Here is a 15,654-nt window from a genome sequence, read left to right on the forward strand (position 1 = left end):
CAACTTACAAAGCCAAAAGGCAGACCTTGTGAGCCTACCCTTTATACCAGTATGCCCAGGATCAAGAAAGATTATGCTGGAGCTTTAAGTTTAATGTCTGCCCTTCTCCTTTTCTAACTAGCATGAGACCTGTTACTCCTTTCCTTTGGCTGATTTCTCCCATTTGGAATGGGAATGTTTATCAAAATGCCTGTGCCACCAATTTATCTTACAAGCAAATAACTTGTTTTTGATCGTAAGGGCTCATAGGTGGAAGAAAATCGACTTGAATCTCAGATAAGTCTTTTGACTTTGGGACTTTTGAGTTGGGTCAGGAATGAATTAAGCAACTGGGGGACTACTGAGAAGGGATGATTGCATTTTGCGATGTATATTAGTCAGGCTTCTCTAAAGGGACATACCTAATACGATAGATGAATACATGGAGGGGAGTTTATTAGGAGAATTGATTCACAGGATCAGAAGGTGAAGTCCCGCAATAGGTTGTCTGCAAGCTGAGGAGCCAGGAAGCTAATCCAAGTCCCCAGATTTCAAAAGTAGGGAAGCCAATAGTGCAGCTTTCATTCTGTGGCTGAAGGCCTGAGAGGCCCTTGCAAATCACTGGTGTAAGTCCAAGAGCCCAAAAGCTGAAGAACTTGGAGTCTGACCTTTGAGGGCAGGAAGCATCCAGCATGAGAGAACGATGGAGGCCAGAAGACTTAGCCAGTCTAGTCTTTCCACATTCCTCTGCCTGCTTTTATCTTGCCATGTTGGCAGCTGATTAGATGGTATCCATCCAGATTGAGGGTGGATTTGCCTCTCCTAGTCCATTGACTCAAATGTTAATGTCCTTTGACAACACCCTCATAGACACACTCAGGAACAATACTTTGCGTCCTTCAATCCAATCAAGGTGACACTCAATATTAACTATCACACAATATAAGAAGTATATGAGGTTAGTGGGGCCAGAGACAGAATGACATAGTGTTGATATTTGTCCCCTCTAAATCTCATTTTGAATGTAATCCCCAATGTTACAGGTAAGGTCTGATGAGAGGTGTTTGGGTCATGGGGGTGGATCCGTGGTGAATGGCTTGGTATCATCCTTACAGTAATGGGTGAAGTCTCACTCTATGAGTTCACATAAGATCTGGTTGTTTAAAAGAGTGTTGGACCTCCCCCATCTCTCTTGCTTCCTCTCATATCATGTGATATGTCTGTTTCTCCTTTGCCTTCTGCCTTGATTATACGCTATCTGAAGTCCTCACCAGAAGGAGATGCTGTCACCTCGTTTCCTGTACAGCCTCTAGAACTGTGAGCCAATTAAACTTCTTTTCTTTATCAATTAACCAGTGTCAGTTATTCTTTTATAGTGACACAAAAAACTGACTAATACTAGTATCTTCATTATGAAGTCACAAAGAAATTGGCTGAATTACTTCTATGCCCTAGGGTTTTATGCAATGCAGAATTTAAGAGCAATGAACTAGCATATCTGCCAGGAGAAACATCTGAGCAGCAAAGCATTCAGGCTACTGTGTGGCTACATTTAACTGCATATTGTAAAATGCCAGAGGAAAATAATTACTTGAAGGCAAAATTTACAATTAAAATAGATGTAAAATGGAAACATTTGAAAAACTTATAACTGGCAATGTAAAATCTTAAAAGGGCTAAACTCAATGTCTCATAACTCTAATCCCAACCCTTTGGGAGGCCAAGGTAGGAAGATTGTTTGAGCCCAAGAAGTTGAGGCTGCAGTGAGCAATGATTGCATTCCAGCATCAGTGACAGAGGGTGACCCTGTCTCAAAATTAGAAACAAATAAATAAATAAGACTTCAAGTGCATGTTTGCATGTTTGGGAAAAAAAAAATAAGAGTGTAGCTAACTGGCATTCTATTAAGGAGTTTAGTATAGTGAGAAGGAATCATCAAAACAATGCCAGAATGACCCCAAAGGGATTTTGAAGATCTTAGAGGCTGGTCCTTTCATTACAGGTCTAGACCTCTAGGAGGGCAGAATGATTTTGAGGAATGAGCCTGGGGAACCCTCCATTAGCTTGATGCCCAAGGACACCCCAAGATCCCCACATTCCAGCCCAGTGCCCCTCTGCTGGTCTCTGTGTCTGTTTATTATGCTAATACCGTGCTGCTTTGGCTATAATACCTCTGTAGTATAATTTGAAGTCAGGTAATGTGATTCCTCCAGTTTTATCCTTTTTGCTCTTGATAGCTTTGGTTATTCTGGGCCTTTTGTGGTTCCATATAAATTTTAGAATTATTTTTGCTTTTTCTTTGAGGAATGTCATTGGTATTTTGATAAGGATTGAATTAAATCTATGCATTGCTTTGAGTAGTGTGAACATTATAACAATATTGATTCTTCCAATCCATAAACATGGGGTATCTTTCTACTTTTTCTGTGTCCCCTTCAGTTTTTTACATCATGTTTTATAGTTTCTTTGCACATATTTTTCAATTCTTTGGTTAAGTTTATTCCTAGGTATTTTATTTTATTTGTAGCTATTGTAAAGGGGATTACTTTCTTAATTTCTTTTACAATTGGAATATAGAAATGATGCTGATTTTTTGTGTTAATTTTATATCATGTAATTTTACGGAATTTGTTTATCAGTTCTAATAGTATTTTGGTGGAGTCTTTAGGTTTTTTCAAATATAAGATGATAATTTAATTTCCTTTCCAACTTAGATGCCCTTTATTTCTTTCTCTTGTATCATTGTTCCAGCTAGGACTTCCAGTGGGATATTTAATAACAGTGGGGTAAGTGGGAATCATTGCCTTGTTCCCGATTTTACAAAAAAATGTTTTTTTTTGTTTTTGTTATTGTTTTTGTTTTTTAAAACGGAGTCTCACTCTGTCGCCAGGCTGGAGTGCAGTGACGCGATCTCTGCTTACTGCAGCCTCCGCCTCCCAGGTTCAAGCTATTGTCCTGCCTCAGCCTCCTAAGTAGCTAGGACCACAAGCACGTGCCAGCACGCCCAGCTAATTTTTGTATTTTTGTATTATTAGGGGAGACGGGGTCTCACCATATTGGCCAGGATGGTCTCGAGATCTTGACCTCGTGATCTGGCCACCTCGGCCTCCCACAGTGCTGGAATTACAGGCGTGAGCCACTGCGCCCACTCAAAGGTTTTTATTTTTTCTTCATTGATTATAATACTAGCTGTTGGACTGCCATATATGACTTCTACTGTGTTGCGGTATGTTCCTTCTATTCCCAGTCTTTTTATGTTTTTTATCATGATGGGGTGTTGACTTTTTCCATCTGCCTTTACAGCATCAATTGAAATGTTCATACGTTTTTGTCCTTCATTCTGTTGATATGCAGTATCAAATTAATGATCGGCATATTTGAATTATCTTTGTATCCCAGGGATAAATCAACTCGGTGATGATGAATGATCTTTTTAATGTGTTGTTGAATTTGTTTGCTAGCATTTTGTTGAGGATTTTTGCATCGGTATTCCTCGGAAATACCATCATGTAGTTTTAACTGATTTTGTTTTTTTGTTTTGTTTATGGATGTGAGGTGTCTTTGCCTGGTTTTGGTATCACAGTAATAATGGCTTCATATAATGAGTTTGCAAGTGCTCCATCCTCCTTTATTTTTTGGAATGATTTGAGTAGTGTTAATACTAGTTCATCTTATGTATTTGGTAACTTTCAGCAGTGAAGCCATTGGGTTCTGGACTTTTCTTTCCTGTGAGACTTTTTATTACAGCTTGGATCTCAGTGCTTGTTATTGTTCTATTCGGGTTTTTAATTTCTTCAGAGTTTAATTATAGCAGGTTCTTTTGTCTAGGAATTTATCCATTTCTTTTACATTTTCTAATTTATTGGCACATAGTTGCTCATGCTAGTCTAATGACTCTTTGACTTTATGTGGTATCAATTGGAATGTTTCATTTTTTGTCTCTGATTTTATTTGCTTGGGTCTTCTCTCTTTTTCTTAGTCTGACAAGTTTTTTTGACTTTATCTTTTTAAAAAACTAACTTCATTTTAATTTTTTCATTTCAATTTCATTTATTTCTTCTCTGATATTTATTGTTTCTTTTCTTTTACAATTTTTGTTTTTGGTTTACTCTTGCTTTTCTAGTTCTTCTAGATGCATCATCAGGCTTTTTTGTTTTTGTTTGTTTTTTTGAGACTGAGTCTCCCTCTGTCACCCAGACTGGAGTGCAGTGGCAGGATCTTGGCTCACTGCAAACTCCACCTCCTGTGTTCAAGCAATTCTTGTGCCTCAGCGTCCCAAGTAGCTGGGATTACAAACATGTGCCACCACACCTGGCTAATTTTTGTAATTTTAGTAGAGATGGGGGTTTCACCATGTTGCCCAGGCTGGTCTCGAACTCCTGGCCTTAAATGATCCGCCCACCTCAGCCTCTCAAAGTGCTGGGATTACAGGTGTAAGCCACTGCACCTGGCCAGGTTTTTTATTTGAAATTTTTCTACTTTTTTGATGTAGGTGCTTATTGCTATTAACTTTCCTCTTACTGGGACTTTTGCTGTATTCCATAGATTTTGATATGTTGTGTGTTCATTTTCATTTGTTTCAAATCATTTTTCAATTTCCTTCTTAATTTATTCTTTGACCCATTCATCACTAACATGTTTAATTTTCATGTGTTTGTCAAGCTTCTAAAGTTCTTGCTATTGATTTAGAGATTTACTCTATTGTGGCCAGAGAACTTACTTGATATGTTTTCAATTTTTTTTGTGTATATTTTAAGACTTGTTTTGTTACCTAAAATATGGTCTATCCCTGATAATAATCCATGTGCTAAGGAGAAGAATGCATATTTTCGGTGGTGGTATGTTTTAATTTCTTGCTTTTTATTGTTTGTCTGTATATCTGTTCTACTTGTTTTGATTTGAGGTTATCATGAGGCTTGCAAAGAACATCTTGTAACCCATTACATTTAACTGATGACAGCTTAACACTGATTGCAAAAACTGACAAAACTAAAAACTGACAAACTAAAAATAAGCAAAGAGGAAAATAAAAACTTCATCTCTTTACTTTTTAACTTTTTAAAATTTCAGTTTGTATCTTATACTATTTCTTGAAAAGTTGTTGTAGTTATTGCTGATAGGTTTATTTTCTACTCTTTCTACTCAATATATGAGTAATTTACACACTACAATTACACTGTTATAATATTTTCTGTTTGTGTACTTACTATTACCAGTAAGTTTTACACCTTGTGATGATTTCTTATTGGTCATTAATATCCTTTCCTTGGGACTGAAAAACTCCCTTTAGCATTTCTTGTATGACAGGCCTGGTGTTGATAACATCCCTCAGCTTTTGTTTGTCTGGGAAAATATTTCTTCATGTTTGAAGAACATTTTCACTGGATATACCATAGTAGAATAAAAATTTTATTCTTCAGCACTTGAAATATGTCATGACACTTTCTCCTGGCCTGCAACATTTCTACTGAGAAGTCTGCTGCCACACATATTGGAACTTCTTTTTATGTTCTTTCTTTTATCTTTATGCTTTAAGATCCTTTCTTTATCCTTAACCTTTGGGAGTTTATTAAATATCTTGAGGTAGTGTTGTTTGGGTTAAATATTCTTGGTATTCTGTAGCCTTTTCCTTGAATATTAATATCTTTCTCTAGATTTGGAAAGTTCTCTGTTATTATTTCTCTGAATAAACTTTCTACCCTGATCTATCTCTCTATCTCTTTTTTAAAGCCAATAACCCTTAGATTTGCCCTTTTGAGGCTATTTTCTGGATCTCTTTAGCCTGTTTCATTCTTTTTTATTCTTTTTTTTCCTGATCTGAATGTGTATTTTCAAGTGCCTGTCTTCAAGCTCACTAATTCTTTTTCTGCTTGATCAGTTCTGCTATTGAGAAACTCTGATGCATTGTTCAGTGTGTCAGTTCATTTTTCAGCTCCTGAATTTTTTTTTAATTATACATTAAGTTCTGGGATACATGTGCAGAATGTGCAGGTTTGTTAATAGGTATACATGTGCCATGGTGGTTAGCTGCACCCATCAACCTGTCATCTACATTAGGTATTTCTCCTAATGCTATCCCTCCCCTAGCCCCCCAGCCCCTAATAAGCCCTGGTGTGTGATGTTCCCCTCTGTGTGTCCATATGTTCTCACTGTTCAACTCCCACTTATAAGTGAGAACATGAGGTGTTTGGTTTTCTGTTCCTCTATTAGTTTGCTGAGAATGATGGTTTCCATCTTCATCCATGTCCCTGCAAAGGAAATGAACTCATCCTTTTTTATGGCTGCATGGTATTCCATGGTGTATATGTGCCTCATTTTCTTTGTCCAGTCTATCATTGATGGACATTTGGGTGGTTTCCAAGTCTATGTCTATTGTGAATAGTGCTGCAATAAACATACTTGTGCATGTGTCTTTATAGCAGAATGATTTATGATGCTTTGGGTATATACCCAGTAATGGGATTGCTGGGTCAAATGGTATTTCTGGTTCTAGATCCTTGAGGAATTGCCCCACTGTTTCCACAATGGTTGAACTAAATTACACTCCCCCCAACAGTGTAAAAGTGTTCCTATTTCTCCACATTTTCTCCAGCCTCTGTTGTTTCCTGACTTTTTAATGATTGCCATTCTTACTGGCATGAGATGGTATCTCAATATGGTTTTGATTTGCATTTCTCTGATGACCAGTGATGATGAGCTCTTTTTCATACGTTTGTTGGCCACATAAATGTCTTCTTTTGAGAAGTGTCTGTTCATATCCTTTTCCCACTTTTTGATGGAGTTGTTTTTTTTCTTGTAAATTTGTTGAAGTTCCTTGTATATTCCAGATGTTAGCCCTTTGTCAGATGGATAGATTGCAAAAATTTTCTCCTATTCTGTATGTTGCCTGTTCACTCTGATGATAGTTTCTTTTGCTGTGCAAAATCAGCTCCAGAATTTCTGCTTGACTTTTTCAAAAATTATTTTAATCTTTTTGTAAAATGTATCTGATAGAATTCTGAATTTCTTCTCTATCTTATCTTGAATTTTGTTATCTTCCTCAAATTAGCTATTTGTAATTCTCTGTCTGAAAGGTTGCATATCTCTATCACTCTGGGATTGGTTACATGTGCTTTATTTAGTTCTTTTGGTGGGATCATGTTTTCCTGGATGGTCTTGATGATTTTGGGTATTTATTGATATCTGGGCTTTGCAGAGTTAAGAATTTATTATAGTCTTTGCAGTCTGGGCTTGTTTTACTCATCCTTCTTGGTAAGGCTTTCAATGTATCCAAAGGGAATGTTGTATTGTGATTTAAATCTTTGGTCACTGCAGCTGTCTCTGCATAAGGGGGGCACCCTAAGCTAAGTAACACTGTGACTCTTCTAGACTAAAAAATGTACCACCTTGGTGGTCTTGGGTAAGATCTGAGGGAATTCCCTGAATTACCAGGCAGAGACTCTTGTTCTCTTTCTTTACTTGTGCCCAAACAAATGGAGTTTTTCTCTCCATGCTGAGCTGTCTGGAGCTGGGGGATATGTGACACAGCGTCCCTGTGGCCACCTCCACTGGGACTGCACTTGGTCAGAACTGAAGCCCAGCACCGCACTCTATCTCACCCAAAGCCCTTGGAAACCACTACCTGGTTACCAACAGTGTTTACTCAAGGCCCAAGGGCTCTTCAGTCAGTATGTGTCCAATTGTGCCAGTGTTTTGTCCTTCCTTTCAGGGCAGAAAATTTCCCCCAGTGGAGATGCTGGTTCAAAAATGCCATCTGGGAGCCAGGGCCTGGAGTCACAAACCTTAAGAATTTACTTGGTTCTCTATTTTACTATGGCTTAGTTGGCACCCAAACCACAAGACAAAGTCCTTCCCACTTTTCCATATCCTCTCCTCAAGCAGAAGGATTCTTTATTTGTGGCCATCACTGTCCCAGGCCTGCAGCAAGTACTCCCTGGTTACTGTCAATGTTCACTCATAGCCCATGGGTTCTTCAGCCAGCTGTGGTAAATGCAACCAGGCCTGGGTCTTTCCCTTCAGGGGAGTAGGCTCCCCCTTTGGTCCAGGATAAGTTTATAAATGCCACCTAGGAATCAAGACCTGGAATCTAGGACCACAGGTACCCACTTGTTGCTCTACCCCACAGCGGCTGAGCTGGTACGCAAGCTAAATTTTGATTTGCATGAAGCTGTTTTCTCCTGTGCATAGTTGTTCTATTTGGTGTTCTTGTATGGGTTGGGGGTTATAGCTGGATAGTTCTATCTGGCCATCTTACTCCACCTCATCTTGCCTTTTTTTTTTTTTTTTCTAGACAGATTCTGGCTTTGTTACCCAGGCTGGAGTATAGTGGCCTGATCAAATATCAGTGTAGCCTCTAACTCCTAGGCTCAAGTAATCCTCCTGCTTTAGCCTCCCAAGTAGTTGGACTGTAAGTACAAGCCACTGCACTGGCTTAATTGTCATTTTAGCAGTGTTGAAAGATGGAACATTTAAGAGGTGATTAGATCATGAACACTCTGCCTTTTAAAATGGATTAATGTTATTGTTATGGCAATGGCTTATTTATCATGACAGTGAGTTCTTGTTCAAAAGTTAAGTTTATAATATATAATTTTTGACCGAAGATTCTAAAGCATGTTTCTCATTGTGACATATTGAAATACATTCCTGGTTAATTGCTACTGAAGTATTCTATAATTTCATCTAAATCAAGGATGCAGAAATATGTTTTATATGGTGAACTAAATAATAGCATTGGTTGGATTATAACTTAAAACAGGTTCTATGCCTGCTGAAAACTGAACAGTAATGTGTAGTTTAAGCCAAAATGGCTACATTTGTAGAAAGTCCTACAATAAAACACTCAAGAAATCAGAGAAATAAAGTGTTTTAAAGCAATGGTAATAATATTAAAATTTTATTTCACATTTTTGTGTTTATTGTCTGTATGGTAATTTACACGTTTATTTCATTTTAGATTAAGTTTGACAATTTTAGGTATGGATAGCAAATCATATATGTCAGGCAAGTTATCCATTGATATAAATATACAATCTTTATGTTTAACTAAAATGAAACAAAATTAGTTATTTCTATGTCTAATTTCTATTTGCTTTTGGTTTCAATTATAAACTTTAAATAACTTTGCAAAACGTTGCCCACCTAAGTAAATCACGAGGTCAGGAGATCGAGACCATCCTGGCTAACACGGTGGCACTCCGTCTCTACTAAAAACACAAAAAATTAGCCTGGCGTTATGGTGGGCTCCTATAGTCCCAGCTACTTCGGAGGCTGAGGCAGGAGAATGGCGTGAACCCGGGAGGCGGAGCTTGCCGTGAGCCAAGATCACGGCACTGCACTCCAGTCTAGGCGACAGAGCGAGATTCCATCAAAAAAAAAAAAAAAAAAAAAAATTGTTGCCCACCTAAAATGTGACATATCTTCTTTTGAAGGATGAATTTGCCTTCAAACAATGGGACCAGCTCATCTTTGTCTTCTATTATTTGCCTCTAATGTTAATGTCATCTTAAATCTTGAAATATAAAATCGATATTTGCCATGTTTATGAGTTACATAGCTGAAAATTGACTAAGTCTAAAACAAGTTTCCTGAATATTGCTTCAACATTTTTAAACAATATGCAAATAATATCAAATTACTAAAAAGTAAATGATCAGACACTTAACTTTATAATTATTTAAGAAAATAAAGTTTTGGTATCTTGTAAAAATTAAATATACAATTGTTCATTAAATTTTTGAAAAGTAACGAAATTATGAGACATAAAAATTAGATGTTAATTAGAAATTATCTGTAATTTGAAATCCATTTATAAATGGATTTCAAAGTAACCTATCAATTACTGGTAGAAAGCTAAACCCCTTTTATATAAATTTTGGTTGAATTATAAAAACAGTATATATCATAAGTATGGCATTATATTATGTAAACAGCATTCAATTTTTATAAATATTTATGTTTAATTCTATAGGCTTTTCATAAATAAATACAAAGCAGCAGCTGGCTTCTGTCATTTGAACAGGTTTCCTTCGATTTGTATGATTGTTCTGCTCTCGATTGCTGTTTTGCCCTATTTTGTTCAACATGAAATAAATAACCACATTGTACAATGATGATTTTTAAAGCAAGATTACATCATAGAAATCAAATAGGTGTAATGATTATGGCTATCAAATTAATCAAATGGCTTCTCTTTTGAAAAGATATGATAGACATTTCTCAAAAGAAGACATACAAATGGTCAACAAGTATAAAAAAATGCTCAGCATCAGTAATTCTCAGATAGATGCAAACCAAAACTACAATGAGACGTCATCTCACCCCAATTAAAATGGCTTTTATCAAAAAGATAAAAAAGTAACAGAACACAGAGAAAGCAGAATGCTGATACACTGTTGATGAGAATGTAAATTAGTATAGCCACTCTGGAGAACAGTACGCAGGTTTTTGAAAAAAACTAAAAATAGAGCTACCATATGATCCAGCAATCCCACTGCTGGATATATATATCCAAAAAAAGAAAATCAGCACATTGAAGAGATACCTACATTCCCACGTTTATTGAGGCACTATTTACACTAGCCAAGATATGGAATCAACCCATGTTTCCATTAACAGATGAATAAATAAAAGTAATACATATACACAATGAAATATTATTCAGTCACAAAAATAATGAAATCCTGTATCTGCAACAATGTGGATACAACTGGAGAATATTATGTTAAGTGAAATAAGCCAGACACAGAAAGACAGATATCAAATGTTCTCATTAATATGTGGGGGCTAAAAAAAAATAAACCCATAAAGATAGAGAGTAGAATGATGCTTAACGGAAGCTGTTTTAGTGGGGAGGAGTGGAAAAGGGGATTGGTTAATGAGTACAAAATATAATTAGATAGAAGAAATAATGTCTAGTGTTTGGTAACACAGTAGGATGACTACAGTTAACAATAGTTTTTGTGTATTTCAAAATAACTAGAGGAGTAAATTTGAAATATTCCACAAAGATTGGATGCACGTTTGAGGTGATGGATGCCCTAATTACCTTGCTTTAATCATTACACATTGTATGCTTGTATCAAAATAGCACATGTACAACTATTATGTATCCAAAGGAATTCAAAGTAAAAAATACAGGGTAAAAAAAATGCAACATGTTTTTCTCGCCAAATTTATCAAAGATTGTTGTGCTTATGTTTGGAATAGAGAGTTTTTATATTCCTTGTAAATTTAATCTGAGCAATCATTTACAAATTTTTCAGAATTTACAGTCACTTTTCTCATTTTATGTCTGGTGAAAACAACTGAGATGCTGGCTTTTAGTCTTTTCTTCTGTTTAATGAGTATTTCCAACTATTTCTAAAAATATATCTCAATCATACCTTGAAAATTCAAGTTGACTTTAAATAAAATTAAATAAGCCATGCAAAATTCAGAAAAATAAATTTGTGAGCATAATTTAAAAGTGTATGCATAGGTACATGGATACAGGGGGAAAAAAACCCTGATACAATTGAGTTGGCTGACATATAGGCATAAAGTCTGCTGAACAGATTCTTGCTCTGATTAAATTTGCTTGGACTCCAGATGACCTGATGCTTGATTGATCTAACAGAACAATTCAATTTTCATTCTTCTGAAAGGTACTATAAAATCATGCCAAACGAAATTAATCTGTTGCAGTTATGTGCATCATAGATAGCAACAGACAGTAGCATAGGTAGTAATGAAACAGTATTCTTCTTCTTGCTAGAAATTTTGTACAATGAATATCAGACACTGAAAGTAAGGATGGGGATTAAATAAATGATCGTGAACATAAATAAGTATTATATCTGAACAGAGCTAAGTAAACATGTCTGACTCCGAATATTTAACCCTGAAATGAGAAAATGCCATGCATGAGGGTGTAGAGAGTACTTGATCTATGCTAACAAGATTAGAATTGAGAAATAATTTTAATTTTACAATACATATATAATTTAATTTTTGTATTTTGTAAACAGAATTTTAGTAACTTCAGCAGCACACACATACATTTTATGTGTACATGAGATACATGTATGAAGCATTACTCAATTTACTACTTATTCAAAATTGGATACAAAGTTCTCTGGAAGCATTTGAAGGGATTTGCATTATGCACAAGGAGAAGATAGATGGTCTAAAGCCAGTCTAACCACATTCTTCTTTGAACAGAAAAGTGCCACAGTAATTTATATAATCAAGCGTCATACTACTTATTGTGATCAAATTATTCTGCTGCTTAAAAATTTTAAAAACCAATTCATAGTATGGAAAACAATGTAAATTTTCTCAAATTACCTTCCTGGGGCTCCCATTTATTATTCATAAGTCTTAGAGAAAAACAGGCTCAATAATCTGTTCATTGCTAAAGGTTATCTTGAAAGATCAAATCTGTAGTCATAATTATTCTTACATTCTCCTTATCTTTCATTTACCTTGTTCAACTGGTTGCCAAGTTGGCCATCCTTCTCGAATGTCTTTTGCATCAATTGTTTTTTTTCTATGCTCTGTGCCACACATTAATTAAGGGAATTATGATTTTGCAAAATTATTCTAACAGCCTTTGACAAGTCTTCATAAATCTTCCACAGTGTTAAAATATCCAGTATTTGAATCTGTTAATATGAATCTCCGACTTAAAATCCTCTAAGACATTTCATTGACTATACATAATAATTTTTGGTGTGGCATATGAAATATGAAACCTTTCATCATTTGCTCCCTGAATATTCAACTTCAACTCTGCCAGTATGCATTATGGACTCTATGTTATACAAACATTTTAAACCACTGCTTACCCTTTAAAGTCTCCTCAACAAACATTTCCATTTTCAACACCTTTGCTTCTCGTTGACTGTCAATAAGCTGTCCTACTTACTTATGAAGACACATAAGACATGTAACTTGTTCATGAATTTCCTCCAAATTTTCTACCCTATGATACTATTCCTACAAAATCTTATTCAAATCCTAGTGGCATCTTTTTTTTACACTGAATATTTTTATGTATCAAATTTATATTGTCAACACTTTTTTTTTTCTTTTTTTTTAGACAGTCTCGCTCTGTCACCCAGGCTGGAGTGCAGTGGCACGAGCTCAGCTCTCTGCAACCTCCGTGCCTTCCGGGTTCAAGTGATTCTCCTGCCTCAGCCTCCTGAGTAGCTGAGATTACAGGCGCGTGCCACCATGCCCGGCTAATTTTTGTATTTTTTAGTAGAGACGGGGTTTCACTATGTTGGTCAGGCTGGTCTCAAACTCCTGACTTCGTGATCTGCCCGCCTCAGCCCCGAAAAGTGCTGGGATTACAGGCGTGAACCACCGTGCCCGGCCTGTCAATATTTTTTAAATGTGACATTATCAGTATTCACTTATAATAGCCATCTCTTTCTGTATGAAAACTTGGTCTTATTCATCTTTGAATCCTCAGAAGAGGACAACATTCTTTGTAAATCATCTGTTGAAACTGTTCGTTTTACATTTTAGAAGAGAGAGAGAGAAAGATAAAATTGATTGTTGTAGATAGATATGCCCTGCGCTGTAGGAAAATTAATTATTTATCCATTTAGTGTATAAGTTTGTGCATGTGCTTGCAAATATATTTAAGGCAACATGCTTTTATTATACACTTCAAGATGACTTTCTCTAATTTTAGTTTTAGTTTTTAATAATTAAATATTTTCTCTCAGATAACTTTCAAGTTTCCTATGATATCTAAGCTGCAGCAGTTCCATTTTTCTGTCAATGGTCTCAGATATTAAAATGTTAATACCCATTATGTCTTCAGAGAGTGTTTTTAATTTCTCTATTACACTTAGCAAGACATTTACTTTTCTTATGGTATACTCCATTGAGTAGTTGTCACTTGCTTTCCAGTATTATACTCATTATCATTTGCTTTCCAGAAGATCTCTGAAATATTTCAAAAATATTATCTCATTGTTGGTAATTTTCACATTATAGATCTTTCCATGATCATATAAAATAATGTTACATTAAACTAAATTGACTCTTTTCTGACATAAAATAACCACAGGTTATATTTCTGACTGGTAGCAATTTAAAGCAGAAATACATGTGATGTCTTTTTATATATTATAAAAAATTATTATGAAAAAATAAGAAAAATCCTATTTGCATTGAAACTGGCATTGGAGACCTACATTTTTGTAGAAAGGGATTTGTAATGAGGTTTCAAAAATGACAAAAAATTTTATCAGCCTATGAACAGCAAAAATATTTTTCTTATTTTGTAAATTTTTATTAGTGTTTTATATGTATATGGCCAATCTTTATTTTATGAATACATATATATATATATATATATCCTCTCTCTATATATCCACTATAAAAAAGACATTTAGAGGACTAAACATACAAAGCAAAATGAGACTATTTCCTTAAGAGAAACTACAATAGCTAAGCAATATGCACTGTAATTTATTATTATAGTTGAAAGTTTGTTTGACATACTTTGTAAATAAATTAAATTGTTTCATAATATTAAATAAATTGATTGTATATGGAAAATTATCACTTGAGTGCACTTACCATTAAAGTGTTAGATTAAGTGAAATATGTGCCCTTTTGTGCTCTATTTATTCATGGCATATTAATGATTAGGATTCACTGAAGGCTTAATGTATACAATATAAATATTACAGTGTACACTAGAAGACATGTTTACAAAACAGCTCTCAAATAACCTTCTGAAAATATATGTTGTTACTGTCAAGACTCTTGTTAATTATGTACATGAAGAGTCCATGCATGACATTATCAACTAGAGCATGTGGCAGTATTTATTGTTACATCATTCTGCATTTATTAATGGCTACCATGGGTCCTCTATGGCAAAAGGAAAATTAATTATCAGAATTATGTTTGAAGTGATTATACTGTTGTGGAGTAAATATTATCTATGAATAATACCAACCTGATAGTTTATATCCTTATTTTTCAATGACTTGATGATAGCGTGTGATGGTTAATTGTATGTATCAACTTGGCTAAAAGGTGCCAAGATAGATGTAAAACATTATTTCTGAGTGTTTCTGGGATGGTGGTTCTGGAAAATATTAGCATTTGAATCAGTAGACTTACTGAAGGAAAACCACATTCACTTTCCCCACCTGACCTCACCCTCATTCTGGCGTTCAGGCCTTTGAGCTGTGACTTGATTACACCACATGCTTTTTTAGCTCTCCAGCTTGCAGACAGCAGATGGTGGGACTTACTGGCTTCTATAATTGTTTGAGCCAATTCCTATAATGAATCTTACCTATATCTATATCTCTACATATCTCTGATTGGTTCTGTGTCTCTGAAGAACCCTGACTAATACAGATTCTGGTACAGAGAGTGGATCTGGAGAAACAAAATTTAAGGTTTGGTTTTCTGAATTGATTCTGGGGTGTCTGGTATTGGCTCTTAAGTTCGATTAGATTTAAGACATTAATGACTGTTTTCAATAGTAAATTGAGCACTGACAGTCAGTGATGCAAACTTTATAGTTACGTAAAACCTTTGCATTGGATACTCCCAATCAACCACTTATAATAAGAAAGGAGCTAAGTGAATCTGTATTTAACATTTTGAACAGTTTTTGAAAACTAAGAAATATAATGATGTTCATTGGTTTTTCTTATT

The sequence above is a fragment of the Homo sapiens genome, chromosome 13 (genome assembly GCF_000001405.40).
Source record: "Homo sapiens chromosome 13, GRCh38.p14 Primary Assembly".
NCBI classification, from domain to species: Eukaryota; Metazoa; Chordata; class Mammalia; order Primates; family Hominidae; genus Homo; species Homo sapiens.